At 45.6% G+C, this 23,534-nt stretch overlaps 3 protein-coding genes across 9 annotated transcripts, besides 34 other annotated features; 2 read left to right on the top strand and 1 right to left on the bottom strand.

Moving 5' to 3' along the window:
- Nucleotides 5,510–6,475: an enhancer, noted in NCBI's record as "H3K27ac hESC enhancer chr14:20929880-20930845 (GRCh37/hg19 assembly coordinates)". NCBI's record gives its function as "activates a minimal SCP1, AML or CMV promoter by ChIP-STARR-seq in naive H9 embryonic stem cells {active_cell/tissue: H9 hESC(naive)}" and the evidence as "EXISTENCE:reporter gene assay evidence [ECO:0000049][PMID:30033119]".
- Nucleotides 6,098–6,177: an enhancer, noted in NCBI's record as "active region_8077". NCBI's record gives its function as "activates an Ori minimal core promoter by ATAC-STARR-seq in GM12878 lymphoblastoid cells {active_cell/tissue: GM12878}" and the evidence as "EXISTENCE:reporter gene assay evidence [ECO:0000049][PMID:35858748]".
- Nucleotides 6,476–7,442: an enhancer, noted in NCBI's record as "H3K27ac hESC enhancer chr14:20928913-20929879 (GRCh37/hg19 assembly coordinates)". NCBI's record gives its function as "activates a minimal SCP1, AML or CMV promoter by ChIP-STARR-seq in primed H9 embryonic stem cells {active_cell/tissue: H9 hESC(primed)}" and the evidence as "EXISTENCE:reporter gene assay evidence [ECO:0000049][PMID:30033119]".
- Nucleotides 6,478–6,547: an enhancer, noted in NCBI's record as "active region_8076". NCBI's record gives its function as "activates an Ori minimal core promoter by ATAC-STARR-seq in GM12878 lymphoblastoid cells {active_cell/tissue: GM12878}" and the evidence as "EXISTENCE:reporter gene assay evidence [ECO:0000049][PMID:35858748]".
- Nucleotides 6,668–7,077: a silencer, noted in NCBI's record as "silent region_5565". NCBI's record gives its function as "represses an Ori minimal core promoter by ATAC-STARR-seq in GM12878 lymphoblastoid cells {active_cell/tissue: GM12878}" and the evidence as "EXISTENCE:reporter gene assay evidence [ECO:0000049][PMID:35858748]".
- On the top strand, nt 6,762–10,515 carry PIP4P1 (phosphatidylinositol-4,5-bisphosphate 4-phosphatase 1). Of its 4 annotated transcripts, none has more exons than NM_144568.4 (7): nt 6,762–7,012; nt 7,351–7,541; nt 7,898–8,004; nt 8,463–8,568; nt 8,756–8,808; nt 8,900–8,990; nt 9,494–10,515. In NM_144568.4, the coding sequence occupies exons 1-7, from the start codon at nt 6,871–6,873 to the stop codon at nt 9,635–9,637; spliced, it is 834 nt and encodes a 277-aa protein (NP_653169.2). In that variant the 5' UTR covers nt 6,762–6,870; the 3' UTR covers nt 9,638–10,515. The 4 variants fall into 4 exon arrangements, with proteins under 4 accessions (NP_653169.2, NP_001094284.1, XP_024305508.1 ...); NM_001100814.3 differs by having other exon boundaries at nt 6,762–7,033; XM_024449740.2 differs by lacking the exon at nt 8,463–8,568.
- Nucleotides 7,138–7,307: a silencer, noted in NCBI's record as "silent region_5564". NCBI's record gives its function as "represses an Ori minimal core promoter by ATAC-STARR-seq in GM12878 lymphoblastoid cells {active_cell/tissue: GM12878}" and the evidence as "EXISTENCE:reporter gene assay evidence [ECO:0000049][PMID:35858748]".
- On the bottom strand, nt 10,429–12,970 carry APEX1 (apurinic/apyrimidinic endodeoxyribonuclease 1). 4 transcript variants are annotated; one of them, NM_001641.4, is made up of 5 exons: nt 12,802–12,970; nt 12,493–12,618; nt 12,095–12,282; nt 11,336–11,528; nt 10,429–11,205 (listed from the first exon to the last, which is right to left on the bottom strand). In NM_001641.4, exons 2-5 carry the CDS (start codon nt 12,548–12,550, stop codon nt 10,688–10,690), a joined length of 957 nt encoding a protein of 318 aa, NP_001632.2. In that variant the 5' UTR covers nt 12,551–12,618; nt 12,802–12,970; the 3' UTR covers nt 10,429–10,687. The 4 variants fall into 4 exon arrangements, with proteins under 4 accessions (NP_001632.2, NP_001231178.1, NP_542380.1 ...); NM_001244249.2 differs by having other exon boundaries at nt 12,807–12,970; NM_080649.3 differs by having other exon boundaries at nt 12,858–12,970.
- Nucleotides 10,812–11,106: a silencer, noted in NCBI's record as "tiled region #9617; K562 Repressive non-DNase unmatched - State 2:TssF". NCBI's record gives its function as "represses a minimal TATA promoter and a strong SV40 promoter by Sharpr-MPRA in K562 cells {active_cell/tissue: K562}" and the evidence as "EXISTENCE:reporter gene assay evidence [ECO:0000049][PMID:27701403]".
- Nucleotides 12,707–12,926: an enhancer, noted in NCBI's record as "active region_8075". NCBI's record gives its function as "activates an Ori minimal core promoter by ATAC-STARR-seq in GM12878 lymphoblastoid cells {active_cell/tissue: GM12878}" and the evidence as "EXISTENCE:reporter gene assay evidence [ECO:0000049][PMID:35858748]".
- Nucleotides 12,707–16,552: a biological region, named in NCBI's record as "OSGEP/APEX1 bi-directional promoter region". NCBI's record gives its function as "regulatory_interactions: APEX1 | OSGEP".
- Nucleotides 12,860–13,397: a promoter, noted in NCBI's record as "pCB22 fragment". NCBI's record gives the evidence for it as "EXISTENCE:reporter gene assay evidence [ECO:0000049][PMID:7534297]".
- Nucleotides 12,861–13,195: a promoter, noted in NCBI's record as "-130 to +205 from APEX1 transcription start site mapped in PMID:8086453". NCBI's record gives its function as "minimal core promoter" and the evidence as "EXISTENCE:reporter gene assay evidence [ECO:0000049][PMID:8086453]".
- Nucleotides 12,864–13,024: a protein binding site, noted in NCBI's record as "probe I (-95 to +65)". NCBI's record gives the evidence for it as "EXISTENCE:protein binding evidence [ECO:0000024][PMID:7534297]".
- Nucleotides 12,984–13,139: a transcriptional cis regulatory region, noted in NCBI's record as "-210 to -55 from APEX1 transcription start site mapped in PMID:7534297". NCBI's record gives its function as "required for optimal APEX1 promoter activity" and the evidence as "EXISTENCE:reporter gene assay evidence [ECO:0000049][PMID:7534297]".
- Nucleotides 12,988–12,993: a transcriptional cis regulatory region, noted in NCBI's record as "E box E1". NCBI's record gives its function as "necessary for stimulation of transcription by microphthalmia-associated transcription factor" and the evidence as "EXISTENCE:reporter gene assay evidence [ECO:0000049][PMID:18971960]".
- Nucleotides 13,009–13,014: a transcriptional cis regulatory region, noted in NCBI's record as "E box E2". NCBI's record gives its function as "important for stimulation of transcription by microphthalmia-associated transcription factor" and the evidence as "EXISTENCE:reporter gene assay evidence [ECO:0000049][PMID:18971960]".
- Nucleotides 13,027–13,059: a transcriptional cis regulatory region, noted in NCBI's record as "-486 to -454 from OSGEP major translation start site". NCBI's record gives its function as "required for OSGEP promoter activity" and the evidence as "EXISTENCE:reporter gene assay evidence [ECO:0000049][PMID:12039036]".
- Nucleotides 13,027–13,471: a promoter, noted in NCBI's record as "-486 to -42 from OSGEP major translation start site". NCBI's record gives its function as "minimal promoter for OSGEP gene" and the evidence as "EXISTENCE:reporter gene assay evidence [ECO:0000049][PMID:12039036]".
- Nucleotides 13,053–13,057: a CAAT signal. NCBI's record gives the evidence for it as "COORDINATES:motif similarity evidence [ECO:0000028][PMID:7534297]".
- Nucleotides 13,070–13,075: a transcriptional cis regulatory region, noted in NCBI's record as "E box E3". NCBI's record gives its function as "important for stimulation of transcription by microphthalmia-associated transcription factor" and the evidence as "EXISTENCE:reporter gene assay evidence [ECO:0000049][PMID:18971960]".
- Nucleotides 13,070–13,400: a transcriptional cis regulatory region, noted in NCBI's record as "-141 to -471 from APEX1 transcription start site mapped in PMID:7534297". NCBI's record gives its function as "important for antisense/bidirectional promoter activity" and the evidence as "EXISTENCE:reporter gene assay evidence [ECO:0000049][PMID:9506886]".
- Nucleotides 13,072–13,113: a transcriptional cis regulatory region, noted in NCBI's record as "-184 to -143 from APEX1 transcription start site mapped in PMID:7534297". NCBI's record gives its function as "required for repression of transcription by p53 protein" and the evidence as "EXISTENCE:protein binding evidence [ECO:0000024][PMID:18208837]".
- Nucleotides 13,077–13,098: a protein binding site. NCBI's record gives the evidence for it as "EXISTENCE:nuclease protection assay evidence [ECO:0001106][PMID:7534297]".
- Nucleotides 13,347–13,436: an enhancer, noted in NCBI's record as "active region_8074". NCBI's record gives its function as "activates an Ori minimal core promoter by ATAC-STARR-seq in GM12878 lymphoblastoid cells {active_cell/tissue: GM12878}" and the evidence as "EXISTENCE:reporter gene assay evidence [ECO:0000049][PMID:35858748]".
- OSGEP (O-sialoglycoprotein endopeptidase) lies at nt 13,384–21,795 on the top strand. The gene is made up of 11 exons (NM_017807.4): nt 13,384–13,627; nt 15,748–15,867; nt 16,047–16,222; nt 18,930–19,025; nt 19,183–19,232; nt 19,385–19,463; nt 20,025–20,090; nt 20,202–20,292; nt 20,506–20,581; nt 20,676–20,774; nt 20,917–21,795. The coding sequence occupies exons 1-11, from the start codon at nt 13,513–13,515 to the stop codon at nt 20,954–20,956; spliced, it is 1,008 nt and encodes a 335-aa protein (NP_060277.1). The 5' UTR covers nt 13,384–13,512; the 3' UTR covers nt 20,957–21,795.
- Nucleotides 13,600–13,620: a protein binding site, noted in NCBI's record as "APE-C". NCBI's record gives its function as "contributes to induction of transcription by hydrogen peroxide" and the evidence as "EXISTENCE:protein binding evidence [ECO:0000024][PMID:10441516]".
- Nucleotides 13,600–13,620: a protein binding site, noted in NCBI's record as "APE-C". NCBI's record gives its function as "contributes to induction of transcription by hydrogen peroxide" and the evidence as "EXISTENCE:protein binding evidence [ECO:0000024][PMID:10441516]".
- Nucleotides 14,529–14,813: a mobile genetic element.
- Nucleotides 14,734–16,552: a silencer, noted in NCBI's record as "1.9 kb HindIII/SmaI fragment". NCBI's record gives its function as "negatively regulates APEX1 expression" and the evidence as "EXISTENCE:reporter gene assay evidence [ECO:0000049][PMID:8942627]".
- Nucleotides 14,793–14,817: a protein binding site, noted in NCBI's record as "nCaRE-B2". NCBI's record gives the evidence for it as "EXISTENCE:protein binding evidence [ECO:0000024][PMID:8942627, PMID:11809897]".
- Nucleotides 14,793–14,817: a protein binding site, noted in NCBI's record as "nCaRE-B2". NCBI's record gives the evidence for it as "EXISTENCE:protein binding evidence [ECO:0000024][PMID:11809897]".
- Nucleotides 14,795–14,813: a nucleotide motif, noted in NCBI's record as "nucleotide motif; nCaRE-B2". NCBI's record gives the evidence for it as "COORDINATES:sequence alignment evidence [ECO:0000200][PMID:8942627]".
- Nucleotides 15,189–15,467: a mobile genetic element.
- Nucleotides 15,449–15,471: a protein binding site, noted in NCBI's record as "nCaRE-B1". NCBI's record gives the evidence for it as "EXISTENCE:protein binding evidence [ECO:0000024][PMID:8942627]".
- Nucleotides 15,452–15,467: a nucleotide motif, noted in NCBI's record as "nucleotide motif; nCaRE-B1". NCBI's record gives the evidence for it as "COORDINATES:sequence alignment evidence [ECO:0000200][PMID:8942627]".
- Nucleotides 15,851–15,865: a nucleotide motif, noted in NCBI's record as "nucleotide motif; nCaRE-A". NCBI's record gives the evidence for it as "COORDINATES:sequence alignment evidence [ECO:0000200][PMID:8942627]".
- Nucleotides 21,796–23,534: the final 1,739 nt, after the last annotated feature.

The raw sequence follows: 23,534 nt of genomic DNA, 5'->3' as shown, positions 1-23,534 counted from the left end.
AACAGTTACTTACGGGATATGTACATCTGTTTGGCACTACTCAACTTCTCACATGCAGGAATCCAATGCTGCCACCCTCATTTTCTGTTCCATGCTGATTTTTACACAGTACTTTTTTTTTTTACTTAATACTTAATTTTTATCAGAGGGACCTTCTAAAACCATCTTTTGTAAAGATATGTTGTCTTTATATATATATATATTTTTGAGACAGGGTTTCACTCTGTAACCCAGGCTGGAGTACAGTAGCACGATCTTGCCTCACTGCAATCTCTGCTGCCTGGGTTTGAGCCATTCTTTTGCCTCAGCCTCCCGAGTAGCTGGGATTACAGGTGCCTGCCACCATGCCTGGCTAATTTTTGTATTTTTAGTAGAGACGGGGTTTTGCCATATTGGCCAAGCTGGCCTTGAACTCCTGACTTCAACTGATCTGCCCACCTCGGCCTCTCAAAGTGCTGAGAGTATAGGCATGAGCTACCACACCTGGCCAGATATATTGTCATCAAAAGGAATGTAGCACAATCTAATGTTCCAACTGTGAATCACCTCAAGTTAATAGGTCACACAGTGTTTAAGAAATATAAAATATTGCTGTGTTTCCTCTGAAAATTAAAAATATTCCACAATACCCTTGTGAGCTTGTACTTTGGCACAGTTTGGGAACCATGGCCCCAGTCACTCCATGCCACCTCATTCCTGAATCTATGTAGTGTAAATGAATGGGCTCTAATAAAACTACCTGTGTATGAATGCCATCTTCACCCCTTATTTACTCGTGTGATTCTAGGCAAGTAAAATTCTTATTATGCTTCAATTTTTTCATCTGTAAAATAGCAATAATCTTAGTATTTTTGCAAGGATTATACAGAATACCTTTTACATGTTTAGGTAAATGCCTGGATATATAATAAGCACACATTAAATGCTGGCTATTATGATTAATCTCCATTGTCTCTTTCTCTTTTGTTCTTTCTAGACTCACCTAACCATAAATTGAATCAAAATAAAAACTAGAGGTATATCCAGCCTATCAATACCAATGAATCCCACACTGTTCAAAACAGAAGGCACTAGCCATGTGTGGCTATTTAAAAGTAATAAAATTAATTAAGATGAAATATAATAAAAATAATTCAGTTACCTAATCATACTAATTACATTGTAACTTCTCGATAGTCACATGTGGTTAGTGGCTACCATATTGCATAGCATAATTACGTTTTTATGCTAGAGCACAGCACTGTTCTTATCTTTTCTAGTCACTGCCACCTTGTATCCACATAAAAGAAACTGGAACTGTGCTTTATTATTTACTTTTAGGGTAAAAGAGTTCCTGTAGCATTCCTATAGACAGGAACCAGACGATCATCAATCTTAGTGTGATTAGAGTTCATTAATGCCTTATTACCTTTTCTTCTATCTTCTCATCACTTCTATCTTCAGAGGGACTCCTTGTCCAGGAACATACTTAGTAACACACTTACCCTCCACCCGCAAGATCAAGGAAACTAAAAAAAAGTGGCAGGAATAGGTTCTAAGTCACTCAGTATTGCCTTGTGGAACGTATTTTATTCCTGCCCTCTCAACTGAGATCTCTTATTCTCTCTAGATCACAAGCTAAATATGCGGTTTTAAAAATATCTATCCCTGGCCAGGCACAGTGCCTCAGACCTGTAATCCCAGCACTTTGGGAAGCCAAGACAGGAGGATTACTTGAGCCCAGGAGTTTGAGACCAGCCTGAGCAACATGGTGAAGTCTCATCTCTACAAAAAATACAAAAATTAGCCAGGTGTGGTGGCATCTGTGGTCCCAGCTACTAGGGAGGCTGAGGCAGGAGAATCACCTGAGCCCAGGAAGTCAAGGCTGCAGTGAGCTGTGATGGAGCCACTGCACTCCAGTCTGAGTGACAGAGTGAGACCCTATCTCAAAAAATAAAATAAAATATCTACTCCCCTTATCACCATAATCTTTGGTCTTCCATTTTCTCCAATTACTGAAATTAAAACATTTTAGGGTTTTTCCCTGTTTTTTTTTTGTTGTTGTTTGTTTGTTTGTTTTTAGATAGGGTCTCGCTCTGCCACCCAGGCTGGAGTGTAGTGGCTCAATCTCAGCTCACTGCAGCCTCAATCTCCTAGGCTCAAGCGATCCTCTTTCCTCTGCCTCCCAAGTAGCTAGGACTACAGGCACGCACCACCGCATTCGCCTATTTTTTATTTTTATTTTTTTAGAGATGGGGTATCTTCATGTTGCCCAGGCTGGTCTCAAACTCCTGGGCTCAAGTGATCCTCCCACCTCAGCCTCCCAAAGTACTGGGATTATGGGCATGAACCAGCACATCCAGCCCTTCTCTTTCTGTTATAGGGATCACTTTTATTTCTCTTTTCTAAGAGTGAGACTTCCATCTGTGCCTCACTCAGTGGCAGGAAGAACAGAGCAGAGATAAAGGACTGGCCTACCACCCTCTATTCCAAAGACCTTGGCTCCTAGAAAGGGAAGCCAGGAATTCCCTAAAGGAAAGAGCAAAGAACTGAGGCCCAGGAAGAGCAAGGAGCACAAGGGAGCAAAGTCCCAATGTAATTAACGTAAATTAATTCTTTAAAACCAGGTCACACCCTACCCAATCCCACCCAACCCCCGGCAAACTACCCCTCGTCTTAGTTAACTCACTCTGCACATTACCAGAAACTTTCTGTGCCTTTGAAATGCAGTAAGGGATTGTGTTGTTTTCACACAGGTGGTAAATTACCACTTCAGGAAAGAGGAAAAAAGAAATAGGGCATGTGGAATATGTGAAAAAAAAGAAATCAGATTGGGACACTTTGGGTCATAGAAGCCAAGCAGATGTTTTCCACCCCATCCTCTGGCCATGTACACACTGTACTAGTTATCACTTTGTTGGAAATCTAAAGAAAAAAATGCTTTGAAATCTATTCTATTATATAACACAATGAAGTGTGTTCCCCCAAATTCTTATATTGACGCTCTAATCCTCATTGTGACTATATTTGGAGATAAGTCCTTTAAAAAGGTAATTAAGTTTAAATGAGGTCATAATGGTGGGGCCACAATCCAATAAGACTGTTGTTCTCATAAGAAGAAGAGAGGCCAGGCAGGGTGGTGCTCACCTGTAATCCCAGCATTTGGACACCAAAGCAAGAGGATCACTTGAGCCCAGGAGTTAGAGACCAATGACCAGCCTGGGCAACATAGTGAGACCCTGTCTCTACAAAAAATTAAAATATTAGCTAGGCATGGTGGCATGCACCTGTCATCCCAGCTACTTGGGAGACTGAGGTGGCAGGACTGCTTGTGCCCAGGAGTTCAAGGCCGCCACAGACTATGACTGCACCACTGCACTCCTGCCTGGGTGACAGAGTGAGACCCTGTCTCTAAAAGCACGGAAAAAGAAGAGAAAGAGGAAGAGAAAGCAAAAATGTGTGTAGAGAAAAGGCCATTTATGCCACAGTGAGAAGGTGGCCATCTGTAAGCTAAGGAGAGAAGCCTCAGGAGAAAGCAAACCTGCCAATATCTTGATCTTGGGCTTCCAGACTCCAGAGCTGTGAGAAAATAAATGTTTGTCGTTTATGCTATCTATAGTGTTTTTTATGTCCTAGCAAATTAATACACCTCAATAGCCTAACTGTTCTCAATCTAAGTGAGAAGATCCCACCCCATAGGTAAAAATCAGGCAATACCTGAGACACTCAATATTTACCAGAGATAATATTAAAATGGCTTATCTGTAAAATACAGGTACCAACCAATCAGAACCAATGGCGCCATAAACAACCAATGCCAGCCACCCTGTAGTGCCCCAGCTGAATATCCTCCCTGCTTGCAACTGCAGCTAACAATATTGTTCAGTACCCAGCAAATTTATCCCAAGATGGGGCTTAAGTTACTTCATTAATTAATTAGAGAGCCATCTATCAAGCAGCTTCTATGTTCCAGGCATTTAGCATAAAAGGGGGCTCATCCCAAGCACCTTCTCTCTGCCACTTCTGTGCTTCTGTCCCTTTCAATCTACCTATCAAATTATTTGAATGTAAAATATTAGATCATAAGTCAGAAGACGGGGATTTAGAGCTCCATTTCAATCTGTCACTTAGCTTAAATGACTCCAGTTTACACAGCCTCAGTTTCCACATCTGTAAAATAAAGATATAGTCTTGCCTTCCCTGTCCACATCACAGTGGGTTCTGAAATAAAATGAATATAACTATGAATGTGCTTTATTGGCCGGGCACAGTGGCTCACGCCTGTAATCCCAGCACTTTGGGAGGCCGAGGCGGGTGAATCACGAGTTCAAGTGATTGAGACCATCCTGGCCAACATGGTGAAACCCCATCTCTACTAAAAATACAAAAATTAGCTGGGTGTGGTGGCACACACTTGTAATCCCAACTACTCGGGAGGCTGAGGCAGGAGAATCGCTTGATCCCGGGAGGTGGGCAGAGATCACACCACTGCACTCCAGCCTGGCGACAGAGTGAGACTCTGTCTCAAAAAAAAAAATGCTTTATTAACTGTGAGCAAGTTCCAAATATTATGATTACTTTTTGCATTTTTCTGCCTATTGATCTACTCAACAACACAGAGCTCAGATCCTAGTTATCCATGCACAATACTCATTTTTCTTTATGTTTTAGAAGTTTTCTCTGGCTGCTCTAGCTAGAAGTGATCTCTTCTTTTCTTGAACTTGAATTACATTGTTTAATTCTTTTATTATGAAGCATGTGCTGTATCATGAATTTCTAGTATTGATATTTTTCCATGTAATAAAATACTAGTGCTGATTTTCTTTTTTTTTTTTTTTTTTTTGAGACACGATCTTGCTCTGTTGCCCAGGTTTAGATCATGGCTCATTGTAACCTTGAACTCCTGGGCTCAAGCAATCCTCCACCTCAGCCTCCCAAAACACCGGGATTACAGGCATGAGCCACCACTCCTGACCTGATATGTTATACTGTCAATGTTTACACTATTCTGTCTCCCTACCCAGAGTGTAAGCTTTTTTAAGGAGTGTCTTTCACAAAGTGTAGATATTTAAAAAATATTTTTAGGACAGTTTTTGGAATATATGTGTAACTAGGGCGCAAATAATGGATCCTACTCCAACCCCAGACAATGCTTGAGCATCTGTGTGCCACAAACAGCAGAAAAAGCAGCAGACTGGCCTCCCTCTATGGAGCTACAACCTCTTCCCTATTTTGTATCTGGAGCTTCCTTAGTTCTTTAAGTGTCTGTTAGGGGCTCTTATCTAACTGGTCGAAGGTTACTAGCTTCCAAGTAGAAGTTGGCCTGAGAAAACCCTGTCTAAAAAAATCAGGACCTAGGTGAAGTCTCCAGCCCCTGTAGCAGCCAAGTGCTGGGACATCTGCAGTTCCTTTGTTATTACATATTTGGGGCTGGCTGTACTTTCTTTGATGCACTTCCTTTCTTAGTGGAGAGTCTGCTAGCCAAACTGATAATGGACCTCCTCGGGGTTTATTGTTTTTATCAATTCCTTGTTGCTTCCCATATTTAAAGCAGTCCCAGTTTGGGCTATGACTTGGGAAAAAATCCAGGTGTGGTTCAGGCGCCCATAAAGACCACACGAGACTTCAGGTAGGGGAGGAGGCACTGCCCCTTTGCTGGAAGCAAAGTTGAGACAGGCCTAAAGACTGTCCCATCTGTCAAATAAGGTGACGAAAATAACCTTGTATTTGATTAATCCAATCTACAAACTTGTGCGTATGTTAAAGGTTGGTGGTCATAAAACTGAGTAAAGGCACGGTGGCTTGTCCCTGTAGTCCCAGCTACTGGGAAGGCTTAGGCAGGAGATCAAACTCAGGAGTTTGAGTCCAGCATAGGCAAGACCCCATCTCTATTGAATTTTTTTTTTTTTTTTTTTAGTAAAACGATGAAATCTTCTAGTAGTGGAGACACTAATGAAAAGATAATTTAACAATTTGATCAGCAATGGGGAAAGACGGGGCTCTGTAAGGACAGCTTCCAGGAAAACCCAGTCTTGTGTCCTGTCCTGAAAGTGACTCTAGCGACAAAGGCTGGAGTGATAATCTTAACTTTTTAATCCATTTCCTTCTGGTACCTCATTACTCTGACTTTTTAAAGGTACTTCTTTGAGTAGAACAGCTAACTTTGTCTACTGTTCCCCACCGTCCATTTTCTCCCCGCTCAGAAGATCCCAAGCTTCCGCACTCCTTTATTGCACCCGCCCAGCCTCCTTTAAAATGCATAAGCCACGCCCCCCATGTTCTGGCGCTAAGTTCGGGCCAATGCAGTTGCGCCGCTAGGATCACAGGACGAAAGAAGTAAAGTCACCAGCCAATAGGAAACCAGCTACAACGCAAAGCCGGAGAAAAGTGTTTTAGTGGTGTCTTTGAACCAATGAGGAGCAGAGCAACAGGGACCGTGCAGCTTCCAGAAACACGTGACCAGTTGAGCAGACGCAGCCTAGCCCTACCTCCTGGTCTGGAGGTAGCGCGATGGGCGTCGCTCCCAATAGCTTGCAGAACCTCTAGTCACGTGCAGGTTTTGCAAGCCCAGCAGCATCTGGCAGGTCATGTGACAGTTGACGTTTGTGCGTCGCTCCCCAATGGAAAAGGAGAGCTGCCTTCACAGGACCAGGAATTGGTTTATCTACGCGAATAATAGCATGACCCGGGCGGGGATAGCCTATCACGTGCTGCTAGACGGAACGGGGCGGGGCAGGCCACTGGTTGCGGAGTGAGCTGGGCGCGCGGCGCGCAGGCGCCCTGGGGACCCGGTAGCGGCGGTGGCGGTGGCGGCGGTGGCGGTGGCTGCGGCGACGGCAGAGGCGAAGGGAGCCGGATCGCCGACCTGAGCGGGAGGCGGCGGTGGCGGCCATGGCGGCAGATGGAGAGCGTTCCCCGCTGCTGTCTGAGCCCATCGACGGTGGCGCGGGCGGCAACGGTTTAGTGGGGCCCGGCGGGAGTGGGGCTGGGCCCGGGGGAGGCCTGACCCCCTCCGCACCACCGTACGGAGCCGGTAAACATGCCCCGCCCCAGGGTAAGCCGGGGCGGGTCCGAGGTGCTCCCCGGGGTACTCTGAAAGCCGGGGAGGGGGCGGGACCGAGGGCGGAGGCGGGTCCCAGTCGCCAGGTGCGGGACTGCTGCACCTGTGACTGGGCGAGGCTTCCTTCCCTCCGTAATCGCGACCACAGCCTAGGGACGGAAGGGGGTTCTGAGCAACCTGATAGAAGTGCCAATTATGAGAAGCCCTCCGAGCTTGGTCAGAGGGTTGAAGATCAGAAGGACTTCCCTACCACCGTGGAGCATCAGTGGGGGTGTAAGTGATCCCAGCCCTTCTATTTGCTTCCTCTCCAGCATTTCCCCCGTTTCCCGAGGGGCATCCAGCCGTGTTGCCTGGGGAGGACCCACCCCCCTATTCACCCTTAACTAGCCCGGACAGTGGGAGTGCCCCTATGATCACCTGCCGAGTCTGCCAATCTCTCATCAACGTGGAAGGCAAGATGCATCAGCATGTAGTCAAATGTGGTGTCTGCAATGAAGCCACCGTGAGTTACACATATCTATGAAATGGGCCCTGTTTCCTGGATCCTCTTTCTGATGTCTTGGTTCTAGACCCTGACCTTCCGGCTATTAGCCAAGTGCTTTTGATGATACCCAGGTTTCAGTTCCAGGTGTCTCACACAGCCATTTCCCCAGAAGCCACTCACCAAAGCTAATGTTCACTTTCTCTCACTTTTACACCTAGCCTAGTTCCTATTTGCAAATCTCATGATATAGTCTTTCTTTTATTTCTCCTTCCTGGTTAGCACCTTATTTTTCTGATCTCATAAAGTGTTTTTGGAGGGAAGTGGAGGGGATTGGGATTAGAGGTTTGCTTGCTGATGACCCTATTATTCTCTAGCCAATCAAGAATGCACCCCCAGGGAAAAAATATGTTCGATGCCCCTGTAACTGTCTCCTTATCTGCAAAGTGACATCCCAACGGATTGCATGCCCTCGGCCCTACTGGTAAGAGGCATAAGGTGGGGAAGGGCCTAAGTGGGGAACTGGAAAGTCAAAAAAGGATGAGCGTATACAGAGAATGTAAAGGTGAGAGAGCCTAGTGTTTATTTAGGAGAAAAGGCTTTGAAGCATGTGCCTCAGGAATGTTATAGCTGTCTTTCTCGTTTCTCAATAAAAATATTGAGATGAAATGATGTCGTTTCGGAGAATAGAGAGCCTTGGGGACTGGGTGTGTTATCCTGAGGTCGGAGGGGAATTGGGGACCTGAAGTTTAAACAGTGCTCTTTCTTTCTCAAGGATTCTTGAGGGTATACAGTTGGGGGACAGAGTATCTTAAGTACAGAGAAGTCGAGTGACTTAATAGACAGGGAGTGGGGGATGTGGAACAGGGACTGTGAAGATTTTTAGGATTAAAAATTTTTCAAACACAAGTTTGAAAATACAAGTCTTTTTCTTTTGTATAGCAAAAGAATCATCAACCTGGGGCCTGTGCATCCCGGACCTCTGAGTCCAGAACCCCAACCCATGGGTGTCAGGGTTATCTGTGGACATTGCAAGAATACTTTTCTGGTGAGGAAGGGGTATTGGGAAGGGGAGGGGAAAGGAGACTAAGAGTCATTTCGAGTATATTTCTTAGAGTAATGGTAATGACCCCTGAAAGGTCTGTCCTATGGGAACATGTTCTGCATCCCCACCCCAAGGTTCTCATTGAGGGAGACCCTGCTTGTGCTATTATTTTTGTTTTCTTTCTCCATAGTGGACAGAGTTCACAGACCGCACTTTGGCACGTTGTCCTCACTGCAGGAAAGTGTAAGTGATTAGGGATTGAGCTGGTAATTGATGTATGGAGTAAAAACTACAAGGCCATAGAAAGCATCCATTTCTATTTGCCTCCCCACAGGTCATCTATTGGGCGCAGATACCCACGTAAGAGATGTATCTGCTGCTTCTTGCTTGGCTTGCTTTTGGCAGTCACTGCCACTGGCCTTGCCGTGAGTACCCTTGCCCCAACCTCTTTCATTCTGCAGCCTCATCTCCATAGGCTAAGATTTGGGAAACTGCTACCCTAAAAAAAAGTGGAAGAAACTTGGGGGACTAGTTTGTTTTGTTTTAAGATATGGATGAGCTAAAGTGCAAAGTGGCTGATCAAACAGACTTTATTACTACTACAAGAGTGAAAAACAGCCTTCCTTTCTCTGTAGGATGAGGATAGGACAGTGAAATTCTTAATTTAAGAGTTGCTATTTTTCAAACCTGGCTCAGTTGTCAGATATTAAGAAAAACTGAGATACAGTGTGGGATGGGATGAGTATGTTACGCCTAAGGGAAGGAAGCTGATCAGCTCTGCCTTTAAGAAGGTCCCTGAGGGTGGCTACATGTGGATAAGGAACAAGGACTGAAGCGTGAGTTATTACTGTTCTTAGAACTAATAGGAGGTAGTGGAGACCAACATTAACCCCATCTTTCTTTTCTTCTCCCTCCTTATCTTCATCAGTTTGGCACATGGAAGCATGCACGGCGATATGGAGGCATCTATGCAGCCTGGGCATTTGTCATCCTGTTGGCTGTGCTGTGTTTGGGCCGGGCTCTTTATTGGGCCTGTATGAAGGTCAGCCACCCTGTCCAGAACTTCTCCTGAGCCTGATGACCCACAGACTGTGCCTGGCCCCTCCCTGGTGGGGACAGTGACACTACGAAGGGAGCTGGGGTAGTTAAAGGCTCCCGGGGCTTCTAGAAGGAAGCCAAGCAGCTGCCTTCCTTTTCCCTGGGGAGAGGTAGGAAGGAACCAGGCCCTCACTTAGGTTTGGAGGGGCAGATAAGAGCACTGCTGACCATCTGCTTTCCTCCAAGGGTTGCTGTGTCTAGGGTGAAGTAGGCAAAACGTTGCCCTTAAAACTGGGCCCTGAAGACGGTTCCAGCCTTGTCCTTCCTGTGTGCTCCCTGAGAGCCATTCCTGTCCCTTACACATTCCAGGGCAGGGTGGGGGTGGGTAGCCCTGGGGGTTCCCCTCCCTCTTGTGCACCATTAGGACTTTGCTGCTGCTATTGCACTTCACCAGAGGTTGGCTCTGGCCTCAGTACCCTCAGTCTCCTCTCCCCACATTGTGTCCTGTGGGGGTGGGGTCAGCCGCTGCTCTGTACAGAACCACAGGAACTGATGTGTATATAACTATTTAATGTGGGATATGTTCCCCTATTCCTGTATTTCCCTTAATTCCTCCTCCCGACCTTTTTTACCCCCCCAGTTGCAGTATTTAACTGGGCTGGGTAGGGTTGCTCAGTCTTTGGGGGAGGTTAGGGACTTATCCTGTGCTTGTAAATAAATAAGGTCATGACTCTACGCTTTTTCAGTTGTTAACTTGTGTGCATGAAAATATGAGGAAGAGAATGTGTAGCCCCACGAAGGGGTAAGACACGAAGACAGCAAGGCTGAAACTATGGCTCTTTATTTTCATGTGGATAATTCAAACAAAGTCATTAGTAGTCTTTGTTCAATTTTTTTTTAAAAAACAAAAAACCCTCAAATAAAAAATCTTGGGCTTAAAAGAACTCTATCACAGGAGCCTGGTTGGAGGATTCCTAGTTTTATACATGAGAAATAGAATGCAGATTTCTCTGAAGAGTGTTTAAAGAAGGAATGGTAGTTGAGGGGGCTTATTTCCCAGGCTCAAAGTGATTTAGGGGTGGTGTCACAGTGCTAGGTATAGGGTGATAGGACAGTGATCACTGCCGAGGGCCTTGGAACGGATCTTGCTGTCACACAATGCAGGTAACAGAGAGTGGGACAACAAAAAGTAATCAAGGCGCCAACCAACATTCTTGGATCGAGCATTCATCATATAAGTCCAAAAGGTGTAGGCATAGGGTGTGTTGGGGTAGAGGTGCCTAAAGCTGTCAGCCAGTGGCACAGCCTGCAGTAATTCCCCGAAGCCTTGGCGCTCTTGTGGCGTGAAGCCAGCATTCTTTTTGTTCCCCTTGGGGTTGCGAAGGTCAATTTCTTCATGTGCCACATTGAGGTCTCCACACAGCACAAGGGGCTTTCGGGAAGCCAGGCCCTTCAGGAACTTGCGAAAGGCTTCATCCCAGCGCTGCCGGTACTCCAGTCGTACCAGACCTCGGCCTGCATTAGGTACATATGCTGTTACCAGCACAAACGAGTCAAATTCAGCCACAATCACCCGGCCTTCCTGATCATGCTCCTCATCGCCTATAGAAATGAAACAGAATTAGCATAAAAAACTATAAGAAAAGGGAAAGCAATCAAGAGGTGGGGCAGAGATAGAGAATTAGCAATTGGTTTTGAAGAGTTCAGGCATTAGGCATCAATAGGGTCTCACCTATGCCGTAAGAAACTTTGAGTGGGCACTGGCGGGAAAGCAGGCCCACGCCACTGTACCCTTCCTTGTCCGAAGGAGCTGACCAGTATTGATGAGAGAGTCCAGGCAGCTCCTGAAGTTCAGCTGGTAGTTTGTTCTCTGAACATTTGGTCTCTTGAAGGCACAGTATATCTGGGGCTTCTTCCTTTACCCACTGTAAGTGAAAAGAAAGGTGGAAAACGTATTATCAATTCAGCAGAACATTTATTGAATAATCTATATGCTAAGTCATAGATACGCACGGGTTAAACAGTCTCTTGGCCTAAGGAGTTCGAGTCAAGCAGCACAATATTCAAACAATTCTAAGCTAGATAAATGAAAACAAATATAGAGAGGTAAGAAAGTCTTACATGCTATGCCAAGGAGATGTGTTTTTTCTATAGGCAGTGGATAGCAAGCTAAGATTTTTAAGCTATGGTTAATGGAATGGAGGACATGCTTCATATGGAATGCAATGCAGGAAGATAAAATGGAGGAAGTATAGTGAAGAGGTTTTTGCAACATTCTGGGAAGAGGAGAGAACACTAAAAAAGAAAATGGCAATGGAAGTGAAGGAACAGACATTTAGGAAATACAACTGGCAAGACTGGGGAAGCCCCACAGAAAACTACGGGCAGGAGAAAAATAAAACAGCCTGAAGGCTAAACGGAGAAAAGGGGTGACTAAACCCTAAGACCATTCAATACTAAAAAATGTCTCTTTCCCTCAAATTCCACTCACATCTAATCCTTTCTTCTTAATCCAGGCTCGAAGCCCATCCACATTCCAAGAGCAGATCTTGAGTGTGGCAGGTTTGCCACTGGGTGAGGTTTTCTGATCTGGGGGGTCCTCATACAGGGCTGGGCCCTCTCCTGCTGCCTCTTTGTCATTTTTCTTTGCGGCCGTCTTACTCTTCTTGGCCTCTGGCTCTATAAAATGAGTAATATATACTGACAAAAAGCTGGTGGTTTCCAACTGCGATCCGGCGTTAACTATAGACCCAACGAAAGCCTACGGTTCCTGCGACTTCTTCACAAACCCCTGCAAAAATGAGTCGGCCCGTACTTACCGTACATCAAGGGAATGACAAACACCCCCGCCGCAGCTTCTAGGAAGAAGGGCTGATTTCATTCCCTTACCTGTCCTGAGCTCATCCCCGTCTTCCGCCACCGCTCCCTTTTTCCCACGCTTCGGCATTCCCGTTACGAACGCCCTTGGGCAGCTGTACCGCGTCACCCACCGAAGCAATATTTTTACCGCGTTGCCTACAGACGCAAAGAAATCATGAAACCAGCTAAGGCTGGGGAGAAGACTCCTCCCAAGAGCGTCCCCGCACCAGGTCCCGCCTTTCAAACCACGTTATCTCTAAATCCTTTCCCCGCCTCCGTGCATCATAGGCCCTTCAGCCCCTCACCCACGAAACTAGATCATTTCATAGTGCCTTGTACCCTACTCGCGAGATCTGCCCTCCAGCCAATTGAGGATCTTAATTAAGGGTCCTGACTCAAGCTTGCCGTTCAGACTGCCAGCGAAGCCCCTCTTATGAGCAAAAGAGCAACCCCGTATCTGCACCGGCCCGATGGCAGCCTAGCTCCTCCTAACCCGAGCACAAAGAAGGGTGCACGCTGAGCCCCCACGTGGGTAGCGGACCTGGTCACGTGATCAGAGGCGCGCTTGTCGTGGCCGAAGAATGCGCGTGATTGGTCTGTCTGACACCACGTGACGGAGACGCTTAGCCTCGCCTCCCTCCTCTAATTCTCTAGGACACTTAGGTCCCCAACCCTCCCTCGGGCTGTTTATCGTTGTGCCAGATGCACAGCACATTGTGTGACACTGACTTAAGATTCTAACTATGTGCAAGAGGGAAAAAAACAGTGGAGAAGGCTGGGCTGGACCACGGGAAAGAGATAGGAAAACGGATACGAATGTAAGGCACAGAGTTGGCTCGGCGTCCCTGGCAGTTAGGAAGACAGGTCCCTGGAGGGGCCTTGGCGGGTCTCCGCTCGCGGGAGTTCCGCGGTGTCTTTCCCAGTGCTATCTGCAGGCTGGCCAGCTTCCTCTGCGCTCCGGAAAGCTGCGGCCCAGCGCGGACTAGTGAGGACCTCCACAGCTCCTGACATTGCCAGGAGTCCTGTCGGCGTTTTCTCCCAGCCTCCGCCATGCCGGCGGTGCTGGGTTTTGAAGGCAGCGCCAATAAGATTGGCGTGGGCGTGGTGCGGGATGGCAAGGTGCTGGCGAACCCGCGGCGGACTTACGTCACGCCTCCTGGCACAGGTTGGTGAGTAGGGGACTTAAGAGTTTTCCGCGCACTTCCCCGCACAGAATCAGCCTTCCATCTTCCTAAATACTAGTGAGGTGCAGCTTTCGATCCGAGTCTCATTGAAATTATGTGACATTATTAACGTCACAAGGCTGATGACTAGAAGAGTTACAGGCACTTGGACGTGGATCTGATGAGTTCATTTACCTTTTACTGAGCGCATTTTATGTGCTAAGTATTCAGAAATAGATGTTATACTGCTGTGGAGTCAGACATATAAATAGATGTTTATACTACAGCATGATAAACAGTATAATAGAGATGGACTCGAAATATTCTGTTTAAAAAACGCTTAGCAGGAGTATAGATTCCAGTTGCCCTGAATATACACTCCCTTTTTAAAAAAAAATTATTTTTTGAAATATTCTAGGATGAGTAGAGAGATGAGAGTGGAAAGACTCCCGGCTTACATGTCAGACAGAACTGGCTGGCTTTGCTATATTCATATTAAATATTTTTGTTTTGGACATTTGGTCTTTATTTTTTATTTTATTTTATTTTTTTGAGACAGAGTCTTGCTCTGTCGCCCAGGCTGGAATGCAGTGGCACGATCTCGGCTCACTGCAATCTCTGCCTTCCAGGTTCAAGCGATTCTTCTACCCCAGCCTCCCAAGTAGCTAGGACTATAGGTGTGCGCCACCACATCCAGCTAAATTTTGTATTTTTAGTAGAGTCGGGGTTTCCACCAGGCCAAGCTGGTCTCGAACTCCTGACCTCAGATGATCCGCCCACCCCAGCCTCCCAAAGTGTGGAAATTACAGGCATGAGCCACCGCTCGGGCCTGGTCTTTGTTTTTAAAATGGGAATAATACCTGTATCATTAGGTCTTGAAGATTAGATGAAAGTACCAAACACGGCTGGGCGTGGTGGCTCACGCCTGTAATCCCAGCACTTTGGGAGGCCAAGGCAGGCAGATCACCTGAGGTCGGGGTTCGAGACCAGCCTGACCAACATGGAGAAACCATGTTTCCACTAAAAAATACAAAAAATTAACTGGGCGTGGTGGCGCATGCCTGTAAACCCAGCTACTTGGGAGGCTGAGGCAGGAGAATTGCGTGAACCCGGGAGACAGAGGTTGCAGTGAGCCGAGATGGTGCCATTGCACTCCAGCCTGGGCATCAAGAGTGAAACTCTGTCTCAAAAAAAAAAAAAGTACAAAACACATTACAACTTTTAATTGATATTTTAAATAAGCTATTATATCTTGCTACTCTCCCCTCAAACACTTGCATACATAGGAGAGGGCAGCTGACTTGCATGTATCTGAAAAGCCTCCCTGAACAGGTGATGTTGTGACAGATACTCACTAGAAATATATATGTATGTTTAGCATTCACTCCTCTGGGCACTTGGGCACTGGGAATACAAAGATAAATAAAATACTCAATGCTTTGAGATATTCATGATTAAGCTGAGCAAACCACAGAAAATTATAATGCTGTAATTGTTATGTTAAATAAATGACATCATCATGCATAGAGTTCTGTAGGGTCACAGAGAAAGAAGATCACCAAAGGCCAGGCACGGTGGCTCAGGCCTGTAATCCCAGCACTTTGGGAGGCCGAGGCAGACGGATCACGAGGTCAGGAGTTCGAGACCAGCCTGGCCAATATGGTGAAACCCCGTCTCTACTAAAAATACAAAAGTTAGCTGAGCGTGGTGGTGTCGCCTGTAGTCCCAGCTACTCAGGAGGCTGAGGCAGAAGAATCTCTTGAACTCAGGAGGTGGAGGTTGCAGTGAGCCGAGATCGTGCCACTGCACTCCAGCCTGGGTGACAGAGCTGAGACTGTCTCAAAAGAAAAAAAAAAAAAAAAGATCACGAAAGGGTATGAGGTAGATACTACTTGCATTGAGACCTGAAGGCTGAGTAGGGTAAGAAGAAGAGCATTTCTGAAAGTTGAATAGCCTATATAGAAGCCGGAAAGAGTAGATGTGAAAATGTGGAAGATAGGATGCTTGGGGAAAGTGAAAGGACTCTTACTACATCACTAAAACTCCTGTTGCTTTCTTTAACTTCCTACCTACCTTTGCTACAGAAAATCCCTGTGATCTCTGACCTATGTTCATTTTCTAGGATTCCTTCCAGGTGATACAGCCAGGCATCACCGAGCTGTTATCCTAGACCTGCTGCAGGAGGCACTAACAGAGTCTGGATTAACCTCCCAGGATATCGACTGCATTGCATACACCAAGGGTATGGCTGGGAGAGTGGTCAACGATGGAGGAATATACCTGCAACCTGGCTAGGTCAAAATAGCCAACACCTTACCTCTGCCACCATCACTACCCCTACCCCACCTCACATCCCTTATGTCCCCCACTATTGTTTTTTTCCAATCTCTAGGATTATAACTTCCATTTCTATCTCCCTAGGCCCTGGCATGGGTGCCCCACTGGTTTCTGTGGCTGTTGTGGCCCGTACTGTGGCCCAACTGTGGAATAAGCCATTGGTGGGTGTGAACCACTGTATAGGCCACATTGAGATGGGCCGCCTCATCACTGGAGCCACCAGCCCAACCGTGTTGTATGTGAGTGGAGGAAATACGCAGGTATTTAGAGGGCTCTACCCACTCCATCTCAATTTCTGAGGCACTGAACCAGTATTTTCTTTGTTCTATCTGAGTCATGGGAATGTCAGGAACAAAGATGGACTTATCTGAACCTAAAATACTGTAGACCAGAAAACCCCCAACAGAGTTTGTAACATTGCAAATTTTGGCAGCATGATCAGAACATTAGATGGCTTATCATTATCAGACTTTATATCTGATTATAAAGATTAGGAATTTCTACTTCAGGAAAGGAATGAATGGGATTGAAAAGGATTGAAATCTTCAAAATAATGAATATCTGAAAGCTCTTGCATTATTTTGAAGCTTATTTTTTCTATAAATCTTAGCAATTGAAACTAACAGTTGCTGGGTATGGCAACTCATGCCTGTAATTCCAGCACTTTGGGAGGTCGAGGCGGGTGGATCATCTGAGGTCAGGAGTTTGAGCCCAGCCTGGCCAACGTGGCAAAACCCCATCTGTACTAAAAATAACAAAAATTAATTTGATGTGGTGGCAGGTGCCTGTAATCCTAGCAACTCCGGAGGCTGGGCAGGAGAATCACTTGAACCCAGGAGGCGGAAGTTGCGGTGAACCGAGATCGCACCATTGCATTCCAGCCTGGGCAACAAGAGCAAAACTCCGTCTCAAACAAACAAACAAACAAAAAACAAAAAAAAACAACTAAAGGACACTACCTGATTTATTATTTTGGGGCAAGTACATGTTTTGTTTTTATATTACTGGGAATGATTATGTAGACTTTGTTATTCTAAGAGTTTAGAAATATAAATAACTTTAAAAAATACTTTGTAAATTATAGAAGGTATTTTATTTTATCTTATTTATTTATTTATTTATTTGAGATGGAGTTTCGCTCTTATTGTCCAGGTTGGAGTGCAATGATGCAACCTTGGCTCATTGCAACCTCTGCCTCCCGGGTCCAAACTATTCTTCTCTACTCCCGAGTAGCTGGGATTACAGGCACCCGCCACCATACCTGGCTAATTTTTTGTGTTTTTAGTAGAGACGGGATTTCACCCTGTTGGTCAGGCTGGTCTTGAACTCCTGACCTCAGGTGATCCACCTGCCTCGGCCTCCCTAAGTGCTGGGATTACAGGCGTGAGCCACCATGCCCGGCCAGAAGGTATTTTAAATTTATAGGTGAAGCTAAAGTTGTTTGGGTTACCTTATATGACCTTTTTAAGGTTGGGATTGGATTCTTTTCCAACAGAACACTTGATTATCATTAGAAATAGTTCAGCATTGTCCCCAGCTCATGAAAGGGTTGTGTCGAGAAGATGAGGCACATGTTTCCCATGAAAATGATGCAGAAACTTCAGCAGGTAGAGGGCAAGTAGTTGGTTGAGGCCTGAAGGATGACATACAAGGTCAGAGACTTGGGTTGTGGAAAGTATAATGGAGGCTACAAGAGTTGATGAAAGGAGCAGTGACGGTTTTGTCTTCCTCTTCTCTTTTAATGTTTGCTTAGGTGTAAGAAACAGGGAGGGTGATTAGGTGGAGAGGAGTGGATAGCAGAAGCAGAAAGGCAGGATTTTTCCTTCGCCTTTGTTACTGTCTTTTTGACAGCAGATTAAGATCTGTATCAGAAAGGGAAGAAATCCCTAACAGCACTGGGAAGGGAAAGGGACTTCTTAAGGTTCGTAGGAAGCCCTCGGTGTTATAAGTCTGCAGAATATGTGTCAGTAAGGGACAGATATTCTCTGTGCTAAAAGTTGGTCACATATGAAGAACGGCCTTAATACAAAAAAGTGGTGGTGGGTGCCTGTAATTCCAGCTGCTTGGGAGGCTGAGGCAGGAGAATTGCTTGAACCTGGGAGGCAGAGGTTGCAGTGAGCTGAGATCACGCCATTGCACTCCAGCCTAGGCGACAGAACAAGACTCTGTCTCAGAAAAAAAAAAAAAAGAAAAGAAAAATGGCCTTAAGTGAATTGCCATTGCTGACTTGGCTGGGCCATTAGTCTGACTCCATATGAGATTTTTGAGTTCTTCAGCTCTGCTTCTTGGTTCTAAATACCACTGCCCAGCTGCATACGGTGGTTCACACCTATAATCCCAGCACTTTGAGAGGCTGAGGCAGGTAGATTGCTTGAGACCAGGAGTTTGAGACCAGGCTGGGCAACATAGTGAGACCCCCATCTCTACAAAAATATAAAAATAAGCCACACATGGTAGCCCAGCTACTCAGGAAGCTGAGGTGGGAGGATCCTTTGAGCCTAGGAGGTGGAGGCTACAGTGAGCTATGATCACACCACTCCACTCCAGCCTGGGAGACAGAGCGAGACCCTGTCTCAAAAAAAAATTACCACTGCCACTGTGTCATAATTTAGAAGGATTCATGTTCTCTGCCTCCAAGCAGAAAAGCCGGTTACCTACTATCAAGACTGCATTTAAGGGATATATTAGGAACTTCTAAGCCGGAAAACCAATGTATTTGAAATGACAATTTATTTCTGCCTGAACCTACACTGTCTAGGAATCTGTTCCTGGAATCCTCAGGGTATACAGATTTCTTCTCAAATCAGAGCTGTAAAAACTACCCATTCACCATTTGGGAAACACCTTTCTTCCACTTCTTATTGGAAGCCCTGGTGGTCATGTTGATCCTCTGCTATGTTTTTCTCCCAAAGCCAAATAATCCTCTTTACAGACTTGGGGTTTCATGGACTTCCTCATCACCCTTAGGTGATTGCATACTCGGAACATCGTTACCGTATCTTTGGGGAAACCATCGATATTGCAGTGGGTAATTGTCTGGATCGTTTTGCTCGAGTGCTGAAGGTAAGCCAGTGGGGCTGCAGAGAACATAAAATGTGGGTGAATTTTTGGGAAGCCATGGAGGTGGAGGGAGGAAATAGTAAATGAGCTTCTTATGCTTCCTGCATATCTGATTTCATCCTCTTCCATTCCCTCCTTCCTTATTTTTTTCTTCTGCTAGATTTCTAACGACCCAAGTCCAGGATACAACATTGAACAGATGGCAAAGCGGTAAGGGGACATAAGGTGGAAGCAGGCTGGCTGCTGGGGCTTCAGGGATTTCCCCATATACGGTATATATTAACAAAATTTGGGACGGGCTTTGGAGGGTGAGAAGCCAGCTGACTGTAGGCTTAGTGCCTCGTACGCTTATTCCCACATAGAGGCAAGAAGCTAGTTGAGCTGCCATACACTGTAAAGGGGATGGACGTCTCATTCTCAGGGATCCTGTCTTTCATTGAGGTGAGTGTGAGAGGTGATGAGACGGGCACTTTCATGCTTTTTAAATGAAGCATATCTGTTTTACTTACGATTATATTTCGTATAGCTCAGTATATTCATGTAGCACAGTACTGGTCCATATCATGTGCTGGGTAAATTCATTTAGAAGGTATTCATTGAATATCTCTGTGTGCCACATGCTGTTCTAGATAGTAGAGATGCAGCATGGAGCAAAACAAAAATCCCTGTCTACATGGAGCTTAGATTCTAAATGGGGGGCGGGGGAGATAAGAAAGAGGAAAATAATGAAGTGCCAGATGATGATGAGTACAGGTGAAAAATTAAGCAGGATAAGTAAGGGGTGAGAGATGTCAGGACAAGTATTCAAAAAGTAATGATTGCATCTTAAATGAAAGCTGCTCATTCTATGCCATGATGCCAGTGAAGGGAATGTGGTACAGGATGTGCTGGTAACTTGAATTGTGGTGAAACATGATGACCCTCCGAATGCATTAATTTTTGCTCTCGTGTAATCCCAAAACCATGATTTGTTGATTCTTTTGTTTTTCCCTTTAATTGTAGGATGTAGCCCATCGGATGCTGGCCACAGGCGAGTGTACTCCTGAGGATCTGTGTTTCTCCCTGCAGGTAATGCAGTAAAAAACTGGGACAGAAAGTTGGGGCTGAAGGTTTTATATTGTAGAGCAGAACTAATCTGGGATGCCCCTCTAATATTTTCTCCTTATCTGTCCCTGACAGGAAACTGTGTTTGCAATGCTGGTAGAGATCACAGAGCGAGCCATGGCACATTGTGGCTCCCAGGAGGCCCTCATTGTGGGAGGAGTGGGGTGTATGTATTATTGAAAAGTGTTCCTCTTTCCTATTCTTAACACTATGCGTCTTCCTCCTGGTACTCTAAATCATTAAGCGTTTGGAGTAGGCTTCCCAATCCTTGCCCCTAATCCCCTATGTCATTGTTCTAAGTGAGTGCACATGACGTGTTCTGCTGGACCATGAAGAGATGGCTAAAACTAAGCTAATCCTGTTCCCTGCCTCTTTGTAGGTAATGTGAGGCTACAGGAGATGATGGCAACAATGTGCCAGGAACGTGGAGCCCGGCTTTTTGCTACAGATGAGAGGTAAAGACACTTTCCCTTTGGTTTCTTTTTTACTTCTCCTGTTATAGTGATTTTCCACCCTTAGATCCCAATTTTCATCTCTCTTGCATCCCAGATTCTGTATTGACAATGGAGCGATGATAGCCCAGGCTGGCTGGGAGATGTTTCGGGCTGGACACAGGACCCCACTCAGTGATTCTGGGGTTACACAGAGGTGAGTGATTCACCTCTTGGTGAGGGTAGATTATTGGGACATAGACAAAAACAGCAGGGAAGAGTCCAGGAACATGAGGGCAGAGAAGAATGAAGGATGTTAAGGGCTCGCTCTCCACCATGTTTCTTCTGTTTTTCCACAGGTATCGGACAGATGAAGTAGAGGTGACCTGGAGGGACTAATAAGATCAACAGAATCAGAGTAGATAGTTCCTTAATCGGAACCCAAAGGACCCCGTGCCTCAATCTCTATCCTGATGTCATGGGAGTCCTAGCAAAGCTATAGACTCCAAGCAAGGCTTGGGGTCCTTTATGGAACCCCAGGATGACTCAGCAATAAAATATTTTTGGTTTTTTGGTTTTGTATGTTGGTGATTGGATTGTGTTGTTCAGGACCAATGTAGATTTGGTGCTGGATAAATTCTTGTTGGAGCTTGCTGCTGTGGAACCAAGAATGAGGTATCTTTTTTTTTTTTTTTAAGAAACGGAATCTTGCTGTGTTTCCCAGGCTGGTCTCGAACTGGGCTCAAGCAGTCTTACCACCTCAGCCTCCTGAGTAAGGATGCCATTGTGCCTGGCAACAATAGTAGTATCATAACTATTATTATAGCATCGGGTCCCGTGCTAACTGCTTTACATTCATTCTCTCATTTAAATTCTTTGAAGTAGGTGTGCAAGACTTCTCTCAAAATAGCCTGGAGGCTCACACCTGTTATCCCAGTGCTGTGGGAGGCCAAGTCAGGAGGATCCCTTGAGCCCAGGAGTTTGAGCCCAGCCTGGGCAAATAGCAAGACACCATCTATTTGAAAAATGTAAAAATTATCTGGGCATGGTGGCGCACATCTGTAGTCCCAGCTCCAAGGGAGGCTGAGGCGGGAAGATAGCTTGAGCCCAGGAGTTTGAGGTTGCAGTGAGCTGTGATTGAGCCACTGCATTCCAGCCTGAGTGACAGAACAAAACCTTGTCTCTTAAAAACAAACAAACAAACAGCCTGGAGATTGGTCTAACTTGTAACTCTAAAACTGCCTCTACTCCGTATACTTTCTCCTACATGCACATCCATCGGCAGGCTTGAGGAATGCCCGCAGATGCACATCCCTCCGTACCACAAACAACAGAACGAATCTCATACCCTTAATCTTATTGATGTTGATATCAATCATCACAATTAGTCCTAAACTACTGAGTCATCTCATCTTTTACACTTAATAACCATGTATCTCCACTCTGTTTTGTCTCCATCTACCTACCTTTTCCAACTCTAGAAGCTCTTCCACTGTGCCCTCTGGAACTGATGGCCAGTCATTTGTCAAATTCTCTGTGTCCTCAACCTCTTCTCTGAACGTTCCCTTCACATTTATGCTCTTCAGACTTGGTTTCTTATGAGGACTCTGCTTCTCCTACCACCTCAGTAGTGGTGGCATTTTCCCTTCCACACCCAGTGTCCCACTGGGCCTGGAGGTGGTGCACGTGTCCTCATACTGTTTCCAGACCATTATCCCTCATCCCTAGTACCCTTCTGCTTTGAAAGAAACTACCATACGAACACCACGTTTGTCATAAATCTTATTTCAGTATTCAGGTAGATCATACTAACACCCGCTTCAGCCACTTATTTCCTTGGTCATGTTCTGGAGCTGCAGATCCTCCACATCTCAGTTTCAGACGTCCCACTCTCGACTACCACCACCTCCTGTTCTTCCAGTTCATTTTCTTTAGTATGCTAAATCCAACAGTTCATCCCTTCACCAGGACCTACGGTCCATTGATCATACTTCCTTTCTGCAGATTTTATCCCCCACGTATTTTTATTTCCCTCCTTCAGCTAAATTCCCATAATCCACCTCATTTCCCTTCCCCTCTTTTGCTTTTGTCATATTCAACTCATCACCTACTTTAGACCCATGCAGCTGAAAGGGCTAGTAAAAAATAGCCATGCTGACTGATCTTACTTCAAACTTACGACCATGACACTAAAATGGGTCCTTTATGCCACCCAGAAATATGCCATCTCTCTAGTCCTTTCACTTGCCCTCTTTTCTAGTGACTGTTTCATACCTTCTGACCCCTCAAATCTCTTAACATCTCCCCCTATTCTGACTCTTACCTTAGTTCCTATTTCAGTAAGAAAATAGAAACAATCAGTATACATTTACAAGCTTTTGCCCCTGAAACTAACCATCTTCCAGTATCTGTACCCATGTACTCTGCCTTCCTCCTGTTACCATAAACCAGTGGTTCTCAACCAGAGCTGATTTTGCTTCTCAGAGGACACTGGATTGTCACCGTCGATAGGAGGATATTTTACTGATTAGAAGTCAGGGCTGGTTGCAGTGGCTCACCCCTGTAATCCCAGCACTGGGAGGCCAAGGCGGGTGGATCACTTGAGGCCAGGAGTTCAAGACCAGCCTGACCAGCAATGGTGAAACCCCTCTACTAAAAATACAAAAAATCAGCTGGCATGATGTTGCATGCCTGTAATCCCAACTACTTGGGCACGAGAATCGCTTGAACCCAGGAGGCGGAGGTTGCAGTGAGCCAAGATTGTGCCACTGCATGCCAGCCTGAGTGACAGAGCAAGACTCTTTCTCAAAAAAAGGGATAATTCTCCCTCTTTTCCTGGAGAGTCAGTATTTCCTTCTCTCCTGAATCCTGCCGTCCACAAATATGCCACTGTTTTCCTCATTTTACAAATAATGCCTGCTTGTCCCCATTTGCCCTTCCAGCTGCTTCCCATTTTTCTGTTCCACTTTACAGCAAA

The sequence above is a fragment of the Homo sapiens genome, chromosome 14 (assembly GCF_000001405.40).
Source record: "Homo sapiens chromosome 14, GRCh38.p14 Primary Assembly".
Lineage (NCBI taxonomy): Eukaryota > Metazoa > Chordata > Mammalia > Primates > Hominidae > Homo > Homo sapiens.
The sequence above is the reverse complement of the archived record's forward strand: the minus strand, read 5'-3'. Positions and strand labels throughout refer to the sequence as shown.

Coding starts and splice junctions, on each gene's coding strand:
- APEX1 (NM_001641.4), bottom strand. CDS start 12,550: ATGCCGAAGCGTGGGAAAAAGGGAGCGGTGGCGGAAGACGGGGATGAG. Junction 12,283..12,492: donor CGGGGATGAGCTCAGGACAG/GTAAGGGAATGA, acceptor CTCATTTTATAG/AGCCAGAGGCCAAGAAGAGT. Junction 11,529..12,094: donor TTAAGAAGAAAGGATTAGAT/GTGAGTGGAATT, acceptor TTTCACTTACAG/TGGGTAAAGGAAGAAGCCCC.
- OSGEP (NM_017807.4), top strand. CDS start 13,513: ATGCCGGCGGTGCTGGGTTTTGAAGGCAGCGCCAATAAGATTGGCGTG. Junction 19,464..20,024: donor GGATCCTGTCTTTCATTGAG/GTGAGTGTGAGA, acceptor CTTTAATTGTAG/GATGTAGCCCATCGGATGCT. Junction 20,293..20,505: donor CATTGTGGGAGGAGTGGGGT/GTATGTATTATT, acceptor GCCTCTTTGTAG/GTAATGTGAGGCTACAGGAG.
- PIP4P1 (NM_001100814.3), top strand. CDS start 6,871: ATGGCGGCAGATGGAGAGCGTTCCCCGCTGCTGTCTGAGCCCATCGAC. Junction 8,569..8,755: donor ATTGCAAGAATACTTTTCTG/GTGAGGAAGGGG, acceptor CTTTCTCCATAG/TGGACAGAGTTCACAGACCG. Junction 8,991..9,493: donor TCACTGCCACTGGCCTTGCC/GTGAGTACCCTT, acceptor TATCTTCATCAG/TTTGGCACATGGAAGCATGC.